Source organism: Homo sapiens, chromosome 2, assembly GCF_000001405.40.
Source record: "Homo sapiens chromosome 2, GRCh38.p14 Primary Assembly".
Lineage (NCBI taxonomy): Eukaryota > Metazoa > Chordata > Mammalia > Primates > Hominidae > Homo > Homo sapiens.
In genome coordinates this window covers 25,304,579-25,321,762 of record NC_000002.12, presented here as the reverse complement: position 1 = coordinate 25,321,762, position 17,184 = coordinate 25,304,579, and the positions used below count along the sequence as shown (strand labels likewise).

The following is a 17,184-nucleotide window of genomic DNA, read 5'->3' as shown; positions in this document are numbered from 1 at the left end:
AGGCATGTGCCACCACACTCGGCTAATTTTGTAAATTTTTGTAGAGACAGGATCTCCCTGTGTCATCAGACTGGTCCCAAGTGATCCTCCTGTCTTGGCCTCTCAGAGTGCTGGGATTACAGGCATGAGCCATTGTGTCCAGCCTCAAAAATGTTTTGTGCATTTGGTAGCCAGAATAATGGCCCCCCTAAGATGGCCAGGTCCTAATCCCCTGGACCTGTGAATATGTCACCTTACATGGCAAAAGGGACTTTGCAGATGTGATTAAATTAATGACCTAGAGATGAGGGGATTATCCTGGATTATCTGGGTGGGCCCAGTGTAATCAGAAGGGTCATTAGAAGTGAAAGATGGAAGCAGAAGAGTAGTCAGAGCAGGAGATGTTGATGAGGCAGAGAGTACTGTGATGGGAAAAAGACTGGCCATCGCTGGCTTTGGAGTTGGAAGGGGACCACGTGGCAAGGAATGAGGGCAGCCTCTAGATGTTGAAAATGTCAAGGAAATGGATTCTCCTTAGAGTTTCCAGAAAAGAATGCAGCCCTGCCAACATCTTGAGTTTAGCCTAGTAAGGAGAATCTTTTTTTTTTTTTACTACTGACTTGCAGAATTGCAAGATAATTTTTTTTTTTGAGACGGAGTTTCGCTTTTGTTGCCCAGGGTGGAGTACAATGGTGCCATCTCCGCTCACCGCAACCTCCGCCTCCCAGGTTCAAGTGATTCTCCTGCCTCAGCCTTCCCGAGTAGCTGGGATTACAGGAATGCACCATCATGCCTGGCTAATTTTTGTATTTTTAGTAGAGACGGAGTTTCTCCATGTTGGTCAGGCTGGTCTTGAACTTCCGACCTCAGGTGATCCACCCTCCTCGGCCTCCCAAAGTGCTGGGATTACAGGTGTGAGCCACCGCGCCCGGCCGATAATGTGTTGTTTTAAGGCATTAATTTTGTGGTACATACAAAAGTAATTTGTGTGTACATACATGCATATATACATATATATGTACACACACATATATTTGTTAAACCTACACACAGTGTTTATTTTATTATTTCGATAAAACTATTATTCACAGCTGAGCCTTGTGGTGCACTGTAATAGTTTCTTTTCGTTTTTTTTTCCCTGAAGTTAATAATTACCTTGTTTCTCATCTGCCTTATTTTTTTGTACCTGTTGCTAATTCCTACCACAACTTCTAATATAATTTTATTTTTCTTTAACAATACTGTTACCTTAGGACTTCTTTTTCTTTTTTTCTTTTTAACTGACACATAATAATTGTGCATCTCTATGGGGTACAATGTGATGTTTCAATACATGCATACATTGTGTAATGATCAAAACAGGATAGTTGGTATATCCATCACCTCCAGCATTTATCACTTCTTTGTGGTGGGCCTACCACACTTTCCAATAGCCATCAGTATTGCTTTCCACACGGGCAGTCACAGCAGGTAAAAGATGTTTCAGTTCCATTTTTTAAGTTATCTATCCTCTTTCACTCTGGGCTAGTTGCTTTCTAGGCACATTGTAGCTGATGCTCTGTGACTTCCTTTTGTGGTCATCTTTGGAATTCCCATTACTTTCCGGTTGGAATCTCTGTTTTCTGGCTTTCGTGTCCTCCTCATGCTTGGCTCACTCCCCTCATTAGAGCACATCTTCCAGGACACACATCTGTCCATATCAAAATCCATTCATGGCTGGGCACAGTGGCTCACGCCTCTAATCCCAGGACTTTGGGAGGCCGAGGCGGGTGGATCACCTGAGGTTAGGAGTTTGAGACCAGCCTGGCCAACATGGCAAAATCCCATCTCTACTAAAAATGCAAAAATTAGCCGGGCATGGCGGCGGGTGCCTGTAATCCCAGCTACTCGTGAGGCTGAGGCAAGAGAATTGCTTGAACCCACAAGGCAGAGGTTGTGGTGAGCCGAGAATGCGCCACTGCACTCCAGCCTGGGCTAGAGAGCAAGGGTCCATCTCAAAAAAAAAAAAAAGAAAGAAAGAAAAAATCTATTCAGTTCCTGGGTTTAGATAGCAGAGTATGGCCACGAGCGATACCTGTGTAGTTTTGTCAGGTAAAAAGACAGTTCGACAGCAGAGGGCATGGTGATGACGGCACTCGTGCCCCAGTCTCAGTGGGAAGGCTGGCCCTCTCTGGCTCATGCCAGGTGACTGGCATGCGGCCTCTTTTCCCCTTCATCCTGGAGCCTCCCTTCCCATCTCTCCTGTACTGGATCTTATGCGTATTAGAGGACATCTTCCTGTCCTTCCTGGGAAAGGAGCGTGAGGCCTCATATGTCTGAAGATGTCTTTACTAGGGCCCAGCACGGTGGCTTACGCCTGTAATCCCAGCACTTTGGGATGCTGAGGTGGGAGGATCACTTGAGCCCAGGAGTTCAAGATCAGCCTGGGCAACATAGTGAGACCCCATCTCTATTTAAGAAAAAAAAAAGACCCCGGGCGTGGTGGCTCATGCCTGTAATCCCAGCACTTTGGGAGGCTAAGGCGGGCGGATCACCAGGTCAGGAGCTCGAGACCATCCTGGCTAACATGGTGAAACCCCGTCTCTACTAGAAATACAAAAAATTAGCCGGGTGTGGTGGTGGGCACCTGTAGTACCAGCTACTTGGGAGGCTGAGGCAGGAGAATGGCATGAACCCGGGAGGTGGAGGTTGCAGTGAGCCGAGATCCCACCACTGTACTCCAGCCTGGGCGACAGAGCAAGACTCCGTCTCAAAAAAAAAAAAAAAGAAAGAAAGAAAAGAAAAGGGCCAGGCGTGGTGGCTCACACCTGTAATCCTAACACTTTGGGAGGCCGAGGCAGGCAGATCACGAGGTCAGGAGATTGAGACCATCCTGGCTAACACGGTGAAACCCTGTCTCTACTAAAAATAGAAAAAAAATTAGTCAGGCATGGTGGTGGGCGCCTGTAGTCCCGGCTACTTGGGAGGCTGAGGCTGGAGAATGGCATGAACCCCTGAGGCAGAGCTTGCAGTGAGCCGAGATTGCACCACTGCACTCTAGCCTGGGCGACAGAGCGAGACTCCATCTCAAAAAAAAAAAAAAAAAGAAAAGAAAAAAGAAAATGTCTTTATTTTACTCTCACACTTAAATGATAATTTGGCTGAAAATAATTCTAATTGGAAGATTGTTTAAGATTTGGTTTATTCTTTAAGAATTTTGGCTGGGCACGGTGGCTCACACCTGTAATTCCAGCACTTTGGGAGGCCAAGGTGGGTGGATCACTTGAGGTCAGGAGTTCAAGACCAGCCTGGCCAACATGGCGAAAGCTGTCTCTACTAAAAATACAAGAATTAGCCGGGAGTGGTGACGGGCGCCTGTGGTCCCAGCTACTCGGGAGGCTGAGAAATGAGAATCACTTGAACCCAGGAGGCGGAGGTTGCAGTGAGTGGAGATCATGCCACTTCACTCCAGCCTGGGCAACAGAGAAAGACTCCGTCTCAGAAAACAAAAACAAACAAAAAAACCCAACTGATCGGAAGCTCTGAGAATGATAGTGGACTTGTTGGTTTTCAAGTCTACATAGGCTGACCTGAATAAGTCATTTTGACCCCATTTTGGTACTGATGTTGGTATTGGCATCCTTAAACCTTTCCTCTTAGACTCATTCGATTCTCCAGAGAAGGAAATGGTTGTCTGGCTGCCAGTATTCTTAGAGCCCAATCGGGGAATAGCCTGAGAGACTGGACATCAGCATTTAAAATAACCTTCCCGGCCGGCGCGGTGGCTCATGCCTGTAATCCCAGCACTTTGGGAGGCTGACGTGGGCAGATCACCTGAGATTGGGAGTTCGAGACCAGCCTGACCAACATGGAGAAACCCCATCTCTACTAAAAGTACAAAATTAGCCAGGCTTGGTGGTACATGCCTGTAATCCCAGCTACTCGGGAGGCTGAGGCAGGAGAATCGCTTGAACCCGCGAGGCGGAGGTTGCGGTGAGCCGAGATCGCGGCATTGCACTCCAGCCTGGGCAACAGGAGTGAAACTCCATCTCAGAAAATAAATAAATAAATAACCTTCCTCTCCTTGGTTTGATATATCATCTTTGTCTTCAGCTGTGCCAAGTGACTCTGTGCAAAGACCCCCTATTTTATGCCCTCCAGTGACTACAGATAAACCTTCAAACTTGTAGAAGAGGGTCTAGGAATTCACTACTCTCACTCAGCCTCTCGTTTCTCACACAAGCATCCTCTTCAGCCCTAGTGCCAGAGTACCTGGTGCTGTCATATAAGCATCTGTTGAAGACTGTGTTATATATCAGCGTTCACACGCCTGTCTGAAATTTGGCTGTCACAAGTCTGCTTTCCAGATTCCACAATTTTGTTGGTGGTATTCCTTCTCTTGTTCAGCCTAATCTTGTGATTTTATGTCTTAAAAAATCTTTTGGCCAGGTGTGGTGGCTCATGCTTGGAATCCCAACACTTTGGGAGGCTGAGGTGGGAGGATCCTTTGAAGCCATGTGTTCAAGACCAGCCTGGGCAACATAGGGAGACCCTGTTTCTACAAAAAAAAAAAAAAAAAGCCAGGTGTGGTGGTACATGGCTGTAGTCCCACCTACTCAGGAGGATGAGGTGGGAGGATCACTTGCACTTGAGCCCAGGAGTTTGAGGCTGCATTGAGCTATGATACTACCACTGCATCCAGCCTGGGTGACAGAGCAAGAACCTGCTCTAAACAAACAAACAAAAAATGTTTCTATTGCATTGAGTTTAGAAGGTAGTGAGCCTTGGTATGCATATTCAAAGCTTTCAGTTCTTTTTCCACAACAGTTTTATAGTTGACGCAGTGGAGATGGTGATCATATCAGCTGTGATACGAAGATGTTTTCATGGTGGGATTCCTTGAAATTTTTTAAGTGGCTGTTAACAAACATTATTCATGGTCACTGTGGACTCTAAAAGGAGGAAATAAAAGCTGCTTTTCATGGTGGTAGGGTTCTTGGCAAGGGTTTTTTGGTGGCAGTGGTGGTGGCTGTGCAGCCCTTGGCCCAGGTGGGAAGAACGCTTTGGTATCGGAAGCAGCCAGGGCTGTGCGGTGGAAGGACCGATGTGGTGGACACCCGCTGCTGTGTTGGGACTGTGGGCCCAGGAGAGCCCACTCCCCATGGCTGGGCTGCCTGAAGGAAGAATGAAGCGTCTACGGGTAGGTGGGCAATGCTATGTCAAGGTCTGGGACCTTGGCCACCAACTGGGGCCCCCTAGGGTTGTGTAGTACATGGCCCGCCCAGACACATACTGGAGGATTTTAGGTGATGGACACGATTTTGAGGGACTGCTACTGACAGGGCTGGTCCATTGAGCAACACGAAAGGGTTGACCCAGGTCAGCTGCATTTTCTGTGAGGACAGTTTCTGCAGCTCAGATGTCAGAGTCTTGGGTGGAGGAAGGGGAGGAGGAAGAGAATCTTCCTTTCCTTTCCTGTCTGGGGTGTCTGCCCTTGGGGCCAATGCCCTGTGAAGTTCTGCTTTTCCCTCCAGCTTCCTTCCTCTCCAGAGCTTCTCTGAACCTCGCCACACCCGTGGCGGCACAGATGCCCTCTGGGTGTCCCTAAGCCTAGGGCAGCATCAAGACAACCCTCCCGCCCCGCTTCCTTTGTGCCTGGGTCTCCCCCGACTCCATTTGGGGTGCCCTGTCCTTGTCAGCCCCTTGTGTGTCCACTGTGCCTGTGGGGCCGCAACAGCTTCCTTGGCCGGTCAGAGCTATTAATAGAAGGGGTCCTGCTCTCCCATTTCATTGGTGGGGAAACTGAGGGCCGGGGAAGCCTCCGTCAGGAGTAGATCCCACCCCTGCGGACTTTGGGCTCAACGTTCTTTCCAATCAGACTCTGCCCCTCTTAGCTTCTGACCCTTTCGAAGGTTTTTGTTTTAGTGTGGCTGGAGATGTCTGTGGTAACAAATGGGGAGTGAGGCTTGACAGGGAATCACTGGCTGCTAAGGGCTGGCAGCCGAGTGCTTCTGGGTTGGACCAGTTCTCTTTTGGGATCTTCAGAGTTGCTTCTGTGGTGTGTGTTGGGGGACGTGAACCCAACCCCTCAGAACTTTAGTGTCAGAGAGATCTGGGTTCATGCCTCTGATGGGTCCTGGCCTTGTTGATCTTACCGTCACCTGTAAACTGGGCACGGCACAGCAGCTGCCCAGATGCAGAGCACGAGCCAGGCCCTGAGTGGCATGTGGCCGATGGAGCTGCTCTCCGCTGCCGTCCACCCTCTCGGGACCCGGGCAGCAAACCTTCCTTAAGCCCAGCACTGCGCTGTGCCTAGGGGTATGGGGAATGGACGCAGTGCACCTGGGCTGCCTCAGGGCTCAGCTGTGGGGCAGGTCCGCTTCAAGCCTTTCTGGGTTGACCTGATGGAGCTCTTCCTGTCCTGGCCCTAAGAAGCTCCTCCTGCCAGCTCCTTCCTCCCACTACCCCCTGGGGCACAGCCAGGGCTGGGGCACCCACTCCCAGGCAAGAATGCACCCCTGGAGAAAGGGGCTAGGCCTGTAGGAGAGCCAAGCCTGTGCTTTCTCCCGGTCCTGGTTTTCCAGGGAGCCCTGACTGGAGGGGGATGGGAGGAGAAGCCCAGGAGGGAGGGGGAGCTGGGGAAGCAGAACCAGGAACTGGAAGGGGAAGGGTGTGGGTGGGCCCAGATCCAGCCTGCCTCCCGCTCTCCCTTGCCTGCCAATCCCCTCCTGGGCCCTGGCACACTCAAGGCAGGGGCTTGGCGGCCGCCTCCTCCGGGGGTGGGGAGCAGGGGAGCTCTTGTGTGTCTCTGAGTGAGGGGGCTGAGACAGCAACACCCCCACCCCAGCTGTGGCCTGAGCTGCAGGCTTTGTTATTTCTCTGGCTTGAGGCCTACACCTGGAGCAGAGGGAAGAAAAGCCCCTAAACTCAGCCGTGTGGGTTCAGAGGACCCCTCAAGCCCACCAACTCTGCAGGCAAATGAGGCTGGTTCATGGGGTGGGGGAGAGAGCAGCCTCACTCCTGCCTCAGTGTGGCCGTGGCCTGTGGCCTTGGCCGTGGCCGTGGCCTCTCCCTCCTAGGCCAGAGCCAACCAGGCCTGCAGCCTGAGCTCAGACCTCAGCTTTCTCTGGGCCCAGGCACCGGTCCTGAAGTGAGGTGACATTCATTTCACTACATCCTGTGACTGCACTCACTTCCTCCACGTGGCGGGAGGTGTGGGGGTGGGGGTGAGGACAGATTAGAAGGAAAACGTAGCTGGGCTAGGGGCCTCTGGGGGAGGCTGGGATTTCCCAGGGGCTGGTTGGGGTGGGAGGGAGGATGCGGGAAGCTTTCAAAGGAGAGAGAGGCTGTGAATGAAGAGAAGGGAGGAGGCGGAGGCAGCTGGAGGTCCCAGAAGTGGCACCCATTGGCCGCAGCGACACGGAGGGGAGACTGCTGCCACTCCAAGGCTCTCAGAGGCTGCTGGGGTAGGAGGTGGCCCTGAAGGGAGCCTGCCTCGGTTTCTCTGCTCTCTGGGGTGCTGGTGAGGCCAGAAGGAGGAGCAACACCCCAGGCCTCACAGGCCAGGTGTGGCCCTGGGCTGAGGGCCTGACCCAGGGAGGGTGGGGTGCTCCGCCCCACTGATCCTCTTCTCTCCCCCACAGGTGGAGCCATCGAAGCCCCCACCCACAGGCTGACAGAGGCACCGTTCACCAGAGGGCTCAACACCGGGATCTATGTTTAAGTTTTAACTCTCGCCTCCAAAGACCACGATAATTCCTTCCCCAAAGCCCAGCAGCCCCCCAGCCCCGCGCAGCCCCAGCCTGCCTCCCGGCGCCCAGATGCCCGCCATGCCCTCCAGCGGCCCCGGGGACACCAGCAGCTCTGCTGCGGAGCGGGAGGAGGACCGAAAGGTGAGCAGCGGGCTCTGCTGGGGACCCTCTGGCCTGGGAGAGGGAGAGCCCTGTCCCTATGTGATGACAGCCGGCTCCTCATACTGAGTGCATGACCGCATCACTCAGTGCTCACGACAGGGTGTGGGACCATCACATCCCTGTTTGGGTGATGAGGAAACGGAGGCTTGCAGAGGTTCAATTCTGGTGATGGAGCAGGCATTTGGTTCCAGGACCCAGGCTTTTAACCACCATGGCATTCGCACAGTGGCTCAAAGCCCAGGTCTGTGCCATTGTGAGGGTTCGGCCTCACAGAGAGTCCCAGAACCTGGATTCCTTCTCGGACCCGCCTCTTACTAGCCGTGGGCCTTCACGTGAATCACTTTCTCTCTCAGCTGCCTCTGTTTCCTTAAGGTGTTCAGTAGCTTCTAGGGGACCAAAGACAAGTTCTGGGGTGGGGCACGGCAGACACGAGGCCGCGGGGGCCCACCCTCCCACACAGACGGAGGCACAGGCTGGGCTCAGTGTGGCGCCAGCACACTTTGGAGATGGTGATTTCCTGTCCCCGCCCCCCACCCCAGACTCCAGGTGAATGTCGCTGGGTTATCTTTGGTATGGCTTTTGGCCACGGAGCTGGTGACCTCCATGTTTTCAGAATCTAGTTGGGGGTGGCCTCTCCACCCTTCTGCTGAACTCCAGGTTGTGCCTGAATCAGTCAGAGGAGATTACATCAGACTGATGGGAGTCCCTGCTGGGTCTCCACAGGCTGTCTTGGGACCTTACCAAGCTGTGTCCCCATGATAGGAAAAGCTGCCCCTTAACCCCCAGCACTGGACTGTGTTGCCCTCTGTCAGTGGAATGGTGAACTCACTGCCACCCTCCAGGGGATCTTATGATGGCCATAGGCCTTCCTGGCATGTCTGTCTGCTGTGCCTCTGTCCACAGTTCCCCCTGCCTGCTCCCCTTCCCCTGAGTAGCGCTGGGGGTTGTGCTGCTTGGTGGTGTCTGGGAGTAGCTGGGCATGCTCATGGGGGCACCAGTTGGTTCTTTTGGAACAAAGGTGGACACCTGGCACCAGCTTTGGGGGCCCTGGGCACTCTGGGGCTAGAGGCAGCCAGCACCCTACCTGAAGGGTGTCAGCTCTGAGACCTCCCTCTTGCGTGCTCAGCTCCTTCCTGGGTTTACCATTCTTCAGAGTGTGTTTCTGTTTCCTAGTTTTCCATCAATGGTTCTATTTGGTCCTTGGGGACAACTCTTGAAACAAATGGGGCAGGGACAGATGGCCCCAGTTTACAGATGAGGAAGCTGAGCCCCGCTGGGCAGTGGCAGGTCCAGATGACAGCCTGTTCTCCTGTCTCCCAGGTCCGAGCCCTTCCCACAGCCCTACCTGCATAGGTCCTGCTAGGGACACATGTACACATCCCAGGAGTGCACATGACGCCCAGGGACCTGCCTTCCCAGCCCAGCACCCTGTAGAGCACCGTGGGGGTGTGTGCACCCAGTCAGCCAGAGCAGGTCAGAAAGCCAGCATGCGCTGCGGCCCACTGGGCAGGACGCCCGGGGCGACCGATCAGGCTCCTCCCTTCTGAATCCATGGGAAAAGAACTGATAGTCCTGGATACCTGCGGGCCCCTAGGCTGCCCCCGCTCAGGACTCAAGCAGCATGAAGACCCAAGCCCTTTGGCCGTAGAGTTGGGGACACCTGCCGCTGTCTGTGCTCTGGAGTGGCAACTGTGGCCATGGCTGACTCCCTCCCCTTCTTGGGCCTGGCTTGCTTTCTCTGTCGGATAAGGTGACCCCGAGTGTCGCCCCACTCTGGGTCCGATGTCCTGACAGTTGCTGACGCAGCTCCCCATCAATGCACTGGCAGTCACTGGTCAGCTGCTCCCCACAGGTGGGGAGGGTGGGGACAGCTGGGACAAACTCCTCCTGTTACTGGACTGTACTCCCACGCCGCTGCTGCTGCTCTGGGCTGCGGAGCCCCAGGCCACCACCAATGGACGGGAGCAGGTCAGGATCTGCATTATAATAGCTCAGGACTGAGAAGCAACGCTGGACCAGGAGTCAGAAATCCCAGGTCCTAGTCCTGAGTATGCCACTTACTGGAGATGTGACTTCAGGCCATCTGGGCTTGTGTTTGCTCAGCTGGAAAATGGGGATAGTGACTCCAGCCTTGCCTGTTTTAAAGGGTGGTTGTGGAAGTCAGATAAGGTCATGGGCATGGAAGTGACCTGCAGACAGCAAAGTCTGGTCCAATTATGAGGGATTACGATTGCTATTATTATCTACCCATAGTAACTGCTCTGGCTCAAGCGGCAACAAACACACACCCAGCCCTAGATCCCGGTGCTGATAGAGTGCACACTCACACCCCAGCAGGAGGGGTCATGCCAAAAGATGGCAGTGATCTGGATAGATAAGGGCTGGGCCATAGCCAGGCCTCCTCCCCAGCCGCCCACACCTACACCACGCATGCTGGCTCACCTGGCACACTTCCCCGGCACCTCTGGGCTGGCTCCAGCACCTCCAGGGAGCCGCCCAGGGAGGGTGGGGAGAGACACTGACAGCCACCACAGCAGCCCATGAAAGCCAGGCCTGCGGCAGGGGTGCTGGTAGCTGCAGAGGGGAAGACACAGGCTTGGTCTGCAGCCCAGGGAGCCTGGCACAGGTGCCAGGGGCACTGTGCACAAAGGAACTGTTTGGCAAGCCAGATGGAAGGGGTGTGGCCAACCAATGGCCCTTCCACTGCCTGGCCCCATGTGGCCCTCTAGCCTCTGCCCACCGCCGCCCCCCCTCCCCGCCCCCGCCCCCAGCCCCGCCTCCATGCACCTTTCACTCCAGCCCCACTCCCATACTTCCTGGAGTCTCCAGGTCTTTGTTTATGCTGCTCCCTCTGCCGCATGGGCCCTTTCCCTAATCTCTTCTCCTCCCTGGTCAAAGCCTCAAAGCCCAGGCTGTAGTTGGCCTTGTATTATAGTTTGCAGGGGACCAGTGGTTCTCAAAGTGGGATCCCCAAATGAGCAACTTCAGCATCACCTGGGAAGGCAAAGCTCAGGCCCCATTCCAGACCTGCTGAGCCAGAACTCGGGGGATGGGACCCAGCCGGGCACCTTTAACCATCCCTCCAGGGGATACTGTTGCGCACAGATGTTGAGAACTATTGGTGTAGATAACTTCTGCCCACTGCTAGCCTGGAGCGCAGGGTCACGGCCCTTTTCTTCCATGTGAATCCCCCGGACCTGGAATAGCACAGAGTGGGTGCTTGGGAAATATTTTACGGATAGAACGGAAAGAAAAATGAGAGTAGCCAAGACCCTCCCACAGGAGAATAATCCCGGAGCCCAGGATCAGGGAGGCGGAGTGCAGAGCTGTGGGTGCTGGGCTGAGGCAGCCATGCTGTGGCTGGGAGTGTACAGAGTGGCCTGTGTGTGTCCCCCTGGCACCTGCCGCCTGCCCTACCCGCCATCCATATGGTGGGCAGAGCAGGGCTGCTTGGGGAGATGGGGAGGAGGCAGGCCGAGCTCTGGGGCTGTGGTCAGGGCGAGTCAGCTGGTAAATGTTGCCGCAGCAGAGGGAGGGGGCTGGCCTCATGGAGGGTGGGTGGGGAGGCAAGCAGTGGGGAGGCTGAGAGCTTAGAGGGGAGTATGGAGCAGAGGGTGGGGGGCAGAGGGAGCAGGACAGGGGACCAAGAACAGTCCAAGGGCCACCTCAGATCCCCAAATATGAATCAGAGGGGAGTCCACAGCCCCAGGCCAGGCCCCTGTTCTCAGTTCTGTCCCCTTTCCTCTGGCCTCAGAAACACAATGGCTAAGATGCATTGAACGCCGACTGCCGGGTGCTATGTGCATGCATTATCTTATTCCATTCTTTTTTTGTTTGAGACGGAGTCTTGCTCTGTTGCCCAGGCTGGAGTGCAGTGGCGTGATCTTGTTTCACTGCAAGCTCTGCCTCCCGGGTTCACGCCATTCTCCTGCCTCAGCCTCCTGAGTAGCTGGGACTACAGGCGCCCGCCATGCCCAGCTAATTTTTTGTATTTTTTTTTTTAGTAGAGACGGGGTTTCACCATGTTAGCCAGCATGGTCTCGATCTCCTGACCTCATGATCCACCCGCCTCGGCCTCTCAAAGTGCTGGGATTACAGGCGTGAGCCACCACGCCGGGCCTATCTTATTTAATTCTTACAATTGCCGCATAAGGTAGACACTATTATTTTCATCATTCTATCTTATTAAGGGCTAAACTGAAGCTCAGAGAGGTTAAGTCACTTGCCTAGAGTCACACAGCTTGTTAAGTGCTAGTGCTGAGGCTGGAATGAGGCTGGCTTCTGCGCTCCTTAGGCTGTCTCCTGCGTGAAGGGGGATGGAGTGAACAGTGCCCCCCGGTGGTGATGTGATGAGAATTCGTAGTCCTCCCCTGGACTTTTGCTGCAGGAGAAAGCCTTTCACTGCATAATGGCGCTCTTGCCCTTGGGGAGAAGTTGGGGGCACTTCATCTCCAGCAAGAACTGCACACACCACCTGCGTGTACAGGCACACACACCAGATGGAGGCACTGCTGCAGACATGCAGCTTCTTACCATTTCTTCCTGCCTCCTGCCCTCCTTCCTTCCCTGCCTCTCCCTCCCTGGACATACAGCTCCTCTTTTCTTCTCTTCCTCCCTCCCTTTCTTCAGACATAGGTACCTTTCCAGGTAGTTAGCATGTAGCAGGGCTCCGCAAGGCTGTTGGATGAACTGAGTGACCGTGCTTGGAGGGCCTAGTAGAGGGGTAGGAAGACATCGAGGTGGGTAAGCCATGCCTGCCCCCCAGGGGTGGGTGAGGCCTGCTGGGCAGCTCCTCTGATCAAGCCTTCTCCTGCCTGTAGTAGAAGCTGCAGCTGGGGTGCATCTTTGTGCTGGGGAAACACAGCACTTATGTGTTTGCACATGTGCGTGCGTGTGTGTGTGTGTGTGTGTGTGTGTGTGTGTATGCATCTGTGGGCAGCATTGGGGCTGCGGTTCCTCCTTTCCCCTCCCCATCAAAGTCTGGCCCAGAGGCCTGGCAGCCACTGATTTCTCGTGGGCTCTCTCCACTCTGGTCTGCAAGTACAAGGGCCTCCATCCTTGGGTGGGGTCCCTGCCAGTTCCAGTGGCAGTCATTCTTGCTGCCCGCGGTCTGTCACCTGCTCCTGGGCATGTTCTGCCTTTCTTGCACTCAGATGCCCCCACATGGTCACTTAGGGCTGGCTCTTTGCTTGACAGTGGTTGCGGTAAGGTCATTTCAAAGAGCATCCTTCTTAGTATGTTTAAATAGCTATAGAAAAGCCGCTGCACCCTCACCTCTTCAGAGACCCAGCCAGCGATAATGGCGCGCTCACTCTGATCTCGGGGGAGTTAGGAGAGGGTTGGGCGTGCTTAGCAGGTTTGTGATGTAAACAGTGCCCATCCCTGAGCTGAGCAGGACCTACATTTTGGGCTTCGGTTTCTCTAAAATTCTCTTAAATTGGACATTATTACATGTCAAATGTAGTTAATCTTGGTCAGTACAGTCTTGGATGGGGGTTGTTTGGCCCCTGCAGAAGGGCCTGTGTTGAAGCTGGACTCTGTCACGTGACTTGGAAACATGGCTGTGAGCAGGAAAACAGCTCCTAGTTGGCTTGAGAGGTTCAGACGAGATGGTGTGTGCAAGTGGTTAACACCAGGACATAGCATATGTTAAGTTAGCTTTATAATTTATTTTGGATATCTACCTACCCATCCACCCACCCACCTACCTGCCTACCTACCTACCTACCTACACCTTTGTGGTTTACACCCACTGCCGCCCCATGAATTGCAGGGGCGTGGGAGAAGAGTAGGAAACCATGGGTGGGGACAGAGTGTGGGCTTAGAGTCCACTGAGAGCCTAGCACGTGAAGGGAATGTTGTCTCTCTTTGGGTCATCAGTCACTAAAGGCCTGAGTTCCCTTTATCCCTTGAACAAAAGTAAAACAAGGCAAGTGGTGATGAGACCTAACTCCTGATGGCAGGGGCTGTAGATCCCTTCAGGGGCCTAGGTGAGGGGCCACAGTCACTTGGGTCCCTCCTGCTCTTAATGGCCGGGTTAGGGATGGAGCCCAGCCCTGCTGATAAGGTGAGTCGCCCAGGGCCAGGGCAGGAAAGGCCAGGCTCAGCTGTGCAGAATAGAAGAATGGGCCAGGCGCAGTGGCTCACACCTGAATCCCAGCACTGTGGGAGGCCAAGGCAGATGGATCACTTGAGGTCAGGAGTTGGAGACCAGCCTGGCCAACATGGCAAAACCCCGTCTCTACTAAAAATACAAAAATTAGCCCAGCGTGGTGGTGCGTGCCTGTAATCACAGCTACTTGGGAAGCTGAGGTGGGAGAATTACTTGAACCTGGTAGGTGGAGGTTGCAGTGAGCCAAGATCTCGCCATTGCACTCCAGCCTGGGTGGCAAGAGCAAAACTCCATCTCAAAAAAAAAAAAAAAAAAAAAAAGCTGCGGTGTGTGGTGGCTCATGCCTGTAATCCTAGCCCTTCGGGAGGCTGAGGTGGGCAGGTCACCTGAGGTCAGGAGTTCAAGGCCAACATGGTGAAACCCTGGCTGGGAAAAAAAAAAGAAAAAGAATAGAGCTGAGTGGTGGAGCAGTGTCCCAGGATAATTGGGAAATGAGCCTTTCCTCTCTGGTACCTGGGCTTGGCACAGGAGTCCTGGTCATACCCTGCAGCTGCCTCTGCAGAGAGCCACAGGGCATTAGGGATATTCCTTGTAATCATCCCACGTAATGTTTGTGCTGCATGGAAGGGCATGTAAAGGAGTGTTCTCTGCACGGTAATTGACTCATTCTGTCATCATGATTAGTTAGGGGGCGCCCAGAGCAGGATGATGGTCAGAGGTTCCTCATCCCCATTTTACCGATGAGGAACTGGGGCTTAGAGAGGCCACACGGCTACAAAGTAGTTTTATCTGGATCTTCCCCTCTATTAAGCAAGGGCTGGCAGAGCTGGGTGTGCTACTGAAGGAGCAGACATGTGTGGGCTTGGTGCCATGGAAGTGGCCACAGGCAGAGCAGTAGCACACTCCAGTCTGGGCTCAGCATGGCATCAGGTACTTGTTTACATGTTGTTGTCTCCCTCTGAACCGAGTTTCCTATTTGTTTATCTTTGTATCCAGTACACAGTAGGTGCTCAATAGATTTTTTTAGTGCACCCCTGTGTCTGGCCTTGTGACATAGAGACCTCAGAGGTGGACAGGGCTGAGGTGTGCTGCTCGTGGGTGTGAGGTCTGGCCCACCCTGCACCTCCAGAAGACAATGAGGCCCCAGCCAGGTGGACAGGCTGTGGACAAGGGGCTGCAGCCCTGGCACGAGGGCCTGGGAACCAGATGGGCACCACCGTTGTCAGCTATTTAGCATTTCTGGAACACCTCTGTGTGCAAGTACCCAGGAGCTGTGGGGGACTCAGAGGCGCCAATGAGACACGGCCCCTCCCCTCCAGGAGAGTGGCCTTTCAGGAGGATGGAAGGCTTTCCTCGGTAATTATGACACGACCTAAGCAGTCAATGGTTACTTGTCGGATATTGTTGAATAATTGAAATAAAGGGCTGATGAGCCTTGGGAGGTGACTGAGATCAGAAAAAGTAGGGGGCTTTGGAGGGCTCTGGGCCCATGCGCATCTACAGTGATTCCCAGCCCACTGCCTGACCCCTCACGCTGGGATCAGCCTCTGCAGGTTGGCCTGGGCACGGGTGTGTGTGCAAGCATATGTGAGTGTCTGTGTGGCATTGGGGTACGCAAGCGTGTGGCTGTAGCTCTGCAGAGCCTGGTGCTCAGGCAACCCAGGACAGGGCTCTGCCTCTTGCAGAAGCCAATTCGTTTCACTGAATTCCATGACCACAGACAGTCCCTGGGAGGCCAGCCAGCCAGCTGGCAAAGGCTGGGCATGCTTCTTGTCCCAGGGGGCCCGGGCAAGTAGCTGGCTAGATCCGGCAAGTTCATCCCCTCGACTCAAGCACCAACTCGAGACATCTGCTCAACCGATGCTGGGTCAGTAGCATCCGGTTTAAGTACTGAAGGGAATACACGTATGTCAGGCTGGCTGTCTCTAGGTGAGGGCCTCAAGAGACATAAATCTCTTGTGGGGAGGGGTCCTGTGTCTGGGCACAGCCAGCCCAGAGTGTCTGTGCCTGTGAATGCCAGTGTGCCTTGACCTTGGATTGCCTGTATCTTTATGGTGTCACTGTGTGTGTGCCTGTTGACATGGTAGGGTATAGTGGCATGTTGCAGTAGAAAGACCGATGGACTGGTAAACAAAAGATGTAAATTTTGGTTCTAAAGGCCTCCTTTCCTGGCTCTCTGATCCCTGCAAGTCAGATAATCTCTCTGAGCTTCAGGTGTTTCATCTGTGTAACAGAAAAAAATAATACCAGCTCTGCTTTCTGTAAAGTGTAAGAATACAATGAAATAACATATGTGAAGATGCTTTGTTAATTACCACGTTCAGTGCAAATGTGAGAGATTATTATCGTCATAGCCCAGCGCATCAGAATGAGACGTTGTATATGGCTTAAAATAATCCATCCAGTGAGCAGTGTTGAAATGTAGGTCAGATCGTAGCCTCAGATGTTTAGAGAGAGGAACCACCTAATCTCACAGGCCACCAAATGTGAAGGTGCTTTGAAAGCTGCAAAGAATGACATAAATGCAAAGTGACAATTATGTTTAAGTCTAGAAGGGACGTTTTAGTCCTCTTGTTTCCTAATCTGGAATCGTAAAGATCCGAGAGGCACTGGAACCTCGTACACAGTTGTATTTGTACGGGTTTGTAGATTTGTACGTGTGTCTCTGTTTGCGTCTATGGACTCACGTCAGGCACCTACTCTGTGACAGTCATTCATCAAGTGCCTGCCTTGGACTAAATGCATCCGTCTAGGCATTCTGGATGCCAGCATGAATCAGACACCCACACTTCCCTCAAGGAGCTGACCGTTGCCTTGCTGGGTAGGGGAACTATAGGAGAGGAAGGGTCTTTCAGCTCAGTCTAGGCAGGGGATGGGAGGAGGGGGCCTAGGGGCAGGGAATCCAGGATAGGAGGCTGGAAAAGCGAGTAACAGTTTGCTGATAAACCTGAGGGGAAGGTGGTGTGGTCAGAAGAACAGTCTATGCCTAGGGGCTGAGGCCGGAAGCAGTTTGCTTTCGCGCTTGGTGCTGTCTGTTGGGACCACAGTGTGGAGAAGAGACCAAGGCGATCCAGCCAAATCCTGGGGACCGCCCTGCACATGAGCTGAGGAGCTTGGCTGGATCCTCCTGGCCCCCGGGAACCCCCGTGGCAAAGGTTTAAGCTCTGCAGAGTGGCATAATCAGCTTTGCATTTTGGAAAG

General features: G+C 53.6%; 1 protein-coding gene across 9 annotated transcripts in view, besides 7 other annotated features; it reads left to right on the top strand.

Annotated features, from left to right (window-relative positions):
- The window catches only part of DNMT3A (DNA methyltransferase 3 alpha), a 114,717-nt gene that overhangs the window by 20,828 nt on the left and 76,705 nt on the right, over window positions 1–17,184 (top strand). For 7 of the 9 annotated variants that reach the window (NR_135490.2, NM_022552.5, NM_175629.2 and 4 more), the window contains exon 2: window positions 7,602–7,850. Coding sequence is in view for 8 of the 9 variants with exons in the window: in NM_022552.5 (NP_072046.2) it covers window positions 7,779–7,850 (72 nt within the window). In the remaining variant the exon portion in view is untranslated. Of the gene's footprint in view, window positions 1–5,166; window positions 7,525–7,601; window positions 7,851–17,184 lie in introns of those variants that run through there. The other 2 variants (XM_005264175.6, XM_017003526.2) reach the window with 2 other exon arrangements.
- Window positions 7,212–7,975: an enhancer, noted in NCBI's record as "H3K27ac-H3K4me1 hESC enhancer chr2:25536657-25537420 (GRCh37/hg19 assembly coordinates)". NCBI's record gives its function as "activates a minimal SCP1, AML or CMV promoter by ChIP-STARR-seq in naive H9 embryonic stem cells {active_cell/tissue: H9 hESC(naive)}" and the evidence as "EXISTENCE:reporter gene assay evidence [ECO:0000049][PMID:30033119]".
- Window positions 7,976–8,739: an enhancer, noted in NCBI's record as "H3K27ac-H3K4me1 hESC enhancer chr2:25535893-25536656 (GRCh37/hg19 assembly coordinates)". NCBI's record gives its function as "activates a minimal SCP1, AML or CMV promoter by ChIP-STARR-seq in primed H9 embryonic stem cells {active_cell/tissue: H9 hESC(primed)}" and the evidence as "EXISTENCE:reporter gene assay evidence [ECO:0000049][PMID:30033119]".
- Window positions 12,314–12,813: an enhancer, noted in NCBI's record as "H3K4me1 hESC enhancer chr2:25531819-25532318 (GRCh37/hg19 assembly coordinates)". NCBI's record gives its function as "activates a minimal SCP1, AML or CMV promoter by ChIP-STARR-seq in primed H9 embryonic stem cells {active_cell/tissue: H9 hESC(primed)}" and the evidence as "EXISTENCE:reporter gene assay evidence [ECO:0000049][PMID:30033119]".
- Window positions 12,814–13,315: an enhancer, noted in NCBI's record as "H3K4me1 hESC enhancer chr2:25531317-25531818 (GRCh37/hg19 assembly coordinates)". NCBI's record gives its function as "activates a minimal SCP1, AML or CMV promoter by ChIP-STARR-seq in primed H9 embryonic stem cells {active_cell/tissue: H9 hESC(primed)}" and the evidence as "EXISTENCE:reporter gene assay evidence [ECO:0000049][PMID:30033119]".
- Window positions 12,962–13,123: a silencer, noted in NCBI's record as "fragment chr2:25531509-25531670 (GRCh37/hg19 assembly coordinates)". NCBI's record gives its function as "represses an EF-1alpha promoter that drives an FKBP-Casp9 reporter gene in an ReSE screen in HepG2 liver carcinoma cells {active_cell/tissue: HepG2}" and the evidence as "EXISTENCE:reporter gene assay evidence [ECO:0000049][PMID:32094911]".
- Window positions 15,165–15,665: an enhancer, noted in NCBI's record as "H3K4me1 hESC enhancer chr2:25528967-25529467 (GRCh37/hg19 assembly coordinates)". NCBI's record gives its function as "activates a minimal SCP1, AML or CMV promoter by ChIP-STARR-seq in primed H9 embryonic stem cells {active_cell/tissue: H9 hESC(primed)}" and the evidence as "EXISTENCE:reporter gene assay evidence [ECO:0000049][PMID:30033119]".
- Window positions 15,666–16,166: an enhancer, noted in NCBI's record as "H3K4me1 hESC enhancer chr2:25528466-25528966 (GRCh37/hg19 assembly coordinates)". NCBI's record gives its function as "activates a minimal SCP1, AML or CMV promoter by ChIP-STARR-seq in primed H9 embryonic stem cells {active_cell/tissue: H9 hESC(primed)}" and the evidence as "EXISTENCE:reporter gene assay evidence [ECO:0000049][PMID:30033119]".